Genomic DNA, 5169 nt, shown 5'->3' with positions numbered 1-5169 from the left:
CTGCAGGAAGAGGAGACAGGAAGAACAAGTCACCGCGACCTGCTGGCCCTTCAGTGGAGGGCGGGTCCTGAAACAGGACGAGAAGCTCCTATCGACTCCCGCTGCAGGAAGCTAAGCTAGGGATGGCAGCCCAGGGCTCTGTGCAGAATCACAATCACCTGTCGTCTGCCCGCACACTCTTTAGATAAGTGCTCGCAGAGAGCCTATGATGTGCCTGGCACATCTGATGGCTGGGGTGAGGGTGCTGGTCCCCCCGCCCGCCATGAGACCTATGGGGGAAGACACCCAACAGGTAGACAGACTGTATGCAGCAGACACAGGCACTGGGGGCAGCCTGCAGAAACAGATGCAGAGTGAGGGGACAGAGAGTGCCGGGAAAAGGAGGCCAGAGAGGGTGCTCCAAGGACTGGGACCTGAGCGGGAGGTGGGGTAAAACCCGAGGATACGTGGGGGACACGTTTCCATCATAGACATGAGGACAGGTGGGGGACACATTCCCATCATAGACATGAGGACAGGTGGGGGACACGTTCCCGTCACAGACATGAGGACAGGTGGGGGACACGTTCCTGTCATAGACATGAGGACAGGTGGGGGACACGTTCCCGTCAAGAGACATGAGGACAGGTGGGGGGCACGTTCCCATCACAGACATGAGGACAGGTGGGGGACACGTTCCCATCATAGACATGAGGACAGGTGGGGGACACGTTCCCGTCATAGACATGAGGACAGCTGGGGGCACGTTCCCATCAGAGACATGAGGAGAGCTGGGGGCACGTTCCCGTCAGAGAAATGAGGACAGGTGGAGGGCACGATCCCGTCAGAATCCCAAGGACATGTGGTGAGGGCACGTTCCCATCAGTCCTGAGGACATGTGGGGAGCACGTTCCCGTCAGAGACATGAGGACACATGGGGAGTACGTTCCTTTTTAAAGAAGCAACAGGCATGTTCCCTGAGACAGGAAGAGGCTTTGACTGAAAAGCACGACCAAGGTGGTGGCCATGACAGAGTGAGTGAGGCAGCACAGAGCTGAGGAGACGGAGGACGGGAGGGCCTCGGCACCGGGATCTTGTCCCATGAGCAAATACGTAGAATGTGCCGTTTTCAGCGCTTATTGTCTGCGTCCTGCTCTAGAGTAGAAGCCTCATGAGGACAGGGGCCATTGTTTGCACACAGCAGACCCTGCAGAAATATCCCTTAATGAACTGCATGACACTGTGAATGCAAGAAGTCTGGAAAATTCTGAATAGAGCTATGGCGTAAATGAAATTTTATGCTTTGATTATGGGAAATGTCAGACAAATTAAAATTTGTTTTCAAAAGCAGAGCAAAGAGTAATTCTCCTTCCCCTGTATGTCCATCAGCAGCTCCCACCCGTTTCATCCCAGGGCCACCCAGCTCCACCCCCGCCCCCTTCATGCTAGCCCTACCACCAGACCCTTTCATCCACAAATGCCTCAGCCCATCCTTCCAGATGACGAGGACCTGCTGAGAAACATACTCACGTTCTGAGTGGAGGGCTCTCGGGAAAATCTCATGCTAAACGCTGATCTGCTCTTTCTGAAGGTGAACACGTTTGCATTACTCGCGACGGGCAGCGTTTCACAAATACTAACTGCACCCTTTCTCTGCTACTCACTCCCAAGTGCCATCTGTTGCCCAGGATTTTATTAAAGGTGCAAATTCTGATTGGGGTGAGGCTAACACTCTGGATTTCTGACTCCAAGGGGCTCCTGTCACTGGGCTGTGGCCCGTCCTTTCAACAGCATGGCGTGAGCATGCTGCCTCAGGGCACGTACGCAGCGCCCATCTCCACAGAGCCCAGCACTTAGGAACATGCGCACAAACAGGGGAAGAGACAGAGACTGGCTTCTCGGGAAACATCAGAGTCCAAGGTGTGCCCTGAATAATGATTCTGGGGCCAAACAGGTTTGAGAAACGCCACACACTGTGAGATGGAGGTCTACGCTATTAATTGTGTCTATGTGTATATTTGGCTAAAATTTCCAGTCATATCATGGCTTGGCTTGGAATTCTCCAAAGCCTGCCCATGAGTTCATCATCTCAAGAGTCACGATTCACATTCGGATACTGGGTAGCGGAGGTGTCCGTGAGAAACAGCTGTTTTGAGCTTTTTTGGATCCAGGGTGTCCCTCAAGTATCTACCCACAAAATCCTCAAGGAACACCTGCCAATGTCTCAACATTGTGGGGACTAGATTCGGGGAATGCTGCTCCAGGACTTTCACATGGGCTAAGCCCATGCGGATGATCTCCTGGACCTGGAGTTCCCTCCCTGTCCATAGAGCCCTCACCCGACTGCCCACACACCTGCCACTCTGCACTTTACGTCACAGTGAAACGGGCCTGTCTTCACCCTGCAAGCCTGACCTGCCCACGAATGCCACACAAACCATGTGGTGGACGCCTTGAGGGCTACAACCAGATGGCCTGGCCAACAAAGAGGGACGCTGCATCTCGTCAAAAGTGGAGAGTCACAAACCACGTTTCGCCTTCCCCTCAAGAACCTGCCCCAGTGACTCCTCCTATCACTACCCTGGGCGTGGGAGAAGCATGAGGACAGCAGAGCCCATCCCAGTTCCCCTGCACCGCAGCTCAACATGACAGGGAGATGCCACTCAAAGGTCCTGCTGTTAGGATGGGAGCACTGACAACACAACTGCTGCCACCACCCCTTACTCCTCCCTCCACAACACTCCCCGCACCTCAGCACCTCACAGCCAGGGAAGGAGAGGTAACATCCCCACTCGGCTCTGGCTGCCTTCAGAGACCCTGCTCTGCGCCCCAGACCAGGGTTTCCAGTTCAGAGGCCTGCAGAGCTCAGCTATGACTAAGTCTGTCATTCTGCATGTGGGGACGAGAGCCGGCCCAGCGTCCCCAGATCTCTCCATTCTCAGTAGTCAGGGACCTGAGTGTGGACGTGCTGTCTCCTGTTCTTCTACTCTTGGCAAACAGCTCTTACTAACCCACAGGTGTGCAGGAGAGTGCTGGCAACCTCTGGCACGAGGGTTGGTGGTCAGGTGCAGCTGTGAGGTCAATGCACTCACCTCTGCAACGTCAGCCAGGGACCTGGACACAAATGAGTCCCGCGAGTTTCCATCCAACAAGCTGGGGCCAAGCAAGGAAGTGCCACTGTTGGTCCCAATGGGAGTCGGCAACATCTTCCGGCTCTTCTCTGGGGAGATGAAGCTTGCTGCGGAGAAAAGGCCAGAGGAAAACACCCTGAACCCTGCTTGGTCTGGACCAGTCCAGCGGAAGGGTCCTGAGGCTGGGGGCAGCCAGCCCAAGCCCTAGCCCCGGCCCCGGCCCCAATCCAGACTTGTGCGAAGAGCTTCCGAGGGACTCAACACGCCGTGACGAGCTCTTCTCGTTTAACAGGCCTTCGTGCATACAGACATGCACCTTGTTTTCCACGAGTCCCACGGTCTCCCACCCTCACTGCCATCCCCCACCCCCATCACGGTCTCCCACCCTCGCTGCCATCCCCCACCCCCATCATGCTCTCCCACCCTCACTGCCATCCCCACCCCCATACTTTCTTCTCTGTGACTAGTCTCATGCAGGTTGTTTCCAACTTTGCTTTTAATTTTTTTTAAAGGCAGGGTCTCGCTCTTGCCCAGGCTGCAGTGCAGTGGTGATCATGGCTCACTGCAGCCTCGAATTCCTAGGCTCAAGCAATCCTCCCACCTCAGCCTCCCGAGTTGCTGGGACTACAGGCATGCACCCCCCACACCTGGCTAGTTTTAAAATTTTCTGTAGAGACAAGGTCTCTCTATGCTGCCAAGGCTGGTCTCAAACTCCTGGCCTCAAGCAGTCCTCCTACCTTGGCCTCCCAAAGTGCTGGGATTACAGACATGAGCCACCACGCCTGGCCTGTTTCCAGTTTTTCAAGATTTACGTGTGACTTTCCAAACATCTGCACTGCTACATGAGACAAAAGGAAACGCCTGCAGGGTGCTGGGTCCCTCAGCACCTCCCAGACCCAGGTCGCCCAACTGGTTCAGAGCTGTCAGGCATGGTACCCGCCATGCCTGATGTGCCCAGCCACAAGCCCTGGCCCCGTACAACTGTGGGCGGGAAGACCCCAGACATCCAAATGGGAGCTCTCTCTGGGCAGGCAACAGCAGCAGGGTGTGCCTTTCCCTGATACACCCCCTTCCTGCCACACTTGCTACCCAGTGGGCAAACGGGCAGTGGGGGAGGAGGATGGACACGTCCTCTGAACTCTCCGATCTATATTCAAGAATGTGCCAGGTGGCAGCTGGACCATCCACTTCTGAATACCTTACTGACCACAGAAAGAGAAGAGCCAAGAGAGTGCCAAGACACCAGTTTCCTTTTCTCCCCTCAAGAGAACCCAGTCGGGAGGGGCCGGGCTAGCTGAACAGACTGGGAAGGCACACAGAACCCAGCATCTGGGGTCACGGGAATGTTCTAGGTCTCCATTGGCTTGTGGGTTACCAGGCTATACATGCTTGCCAAAGCTTGGTGAACTGTACACTAAAAATGTGTACATTTTCCTACATGTAAATTACACCCAAAAATATTAACTCAGAAAAATACAAACACTTGAGAAGCGAACAAGCCAACAGTCCTAGTGGGAGTTTGAGTAGAATGAGAATCCAGTGTCCCGCAGACCCCAGCCCCTGCTGCCCTGGAAAAGGAGATGGGAGCCCTCCCCATACACTCACCAAACAGGCTGCTGAGCGAGGAGTCGGTGGAGTCACTGGGGTACCACTGGGGGTCGTGGGTGGGAGAGGCGATCCAGTGTGGCTGGGGGCTGCTGGACGGGGAGGGAAGGCTCTTGGAACTGTCACTGCCATTCAGTTTTGCTGGAGAAAGAGGGACTCCTTCACCTGCCAACCAAGATCCCAGATCAGAAACGCCTTGTTGCGGGGTGGTGAACAGCAACTCACTTCTCCAGCCCACCACGGAGAAGGCAGCAGGGCCGCAGGGCTCTACCCTGCTGAACCAGATGGATGGCATGGCTCGGCAGGTAAGGAGCGCAGCACCGCAGAACAGCTCTGCAGGGAGGCAGGGCGCAGCGGAGTGAAGGCGACGGCAGTAGCCACCACGGGTTGCACATGAGTCATCTCACGGCACCCACAGCAGCCCTAGGAGCTGTACCTTATTCTCAATTTACCG

General features: G+C 55.4%; 1 protein-coding gene across 1 annotated transcript in view; it reads right to left on the bottom strand.

Moving 5' to 3' along the window:
- CRAMP1 (cramped chromatin regulator 1) overlaps positions 1-5169 on the bottom strand; it is a 65549-nt gene that overhangs the window by 4028 nt on the left and 56352 nt on the right. The window contains exons 19-20 of the mRNA NM_020825.4: positions 4716-4880; positions 3072-3217 (exon numbers count right to left, since the gene is read on the bottom strand). Coding sequence (NP_065876.3) covers positions 3072-3217; positions 4716-4880 — 311 coding nt within the window. The remainder of the gene's footprint in view (positions 1-3071; positions 3218-4715; positions 4881-5169) is intronic.

This window comes from Homo sapiens, chromosome 16 (assembly GCF_000001405.40).
Source record: "Homo sapiens chromosome 16, GRCh38.p14 Primary Assembly".
Classification (NCBI taxonomy): Eukaryota; Metazoa; Chordata; class Mammalia; order Primates; family Hominidae; genus Homo; species Homo sapiens.
This window is presented reverse-complemented; position numbering and strand designations above follow the sequence as displayed.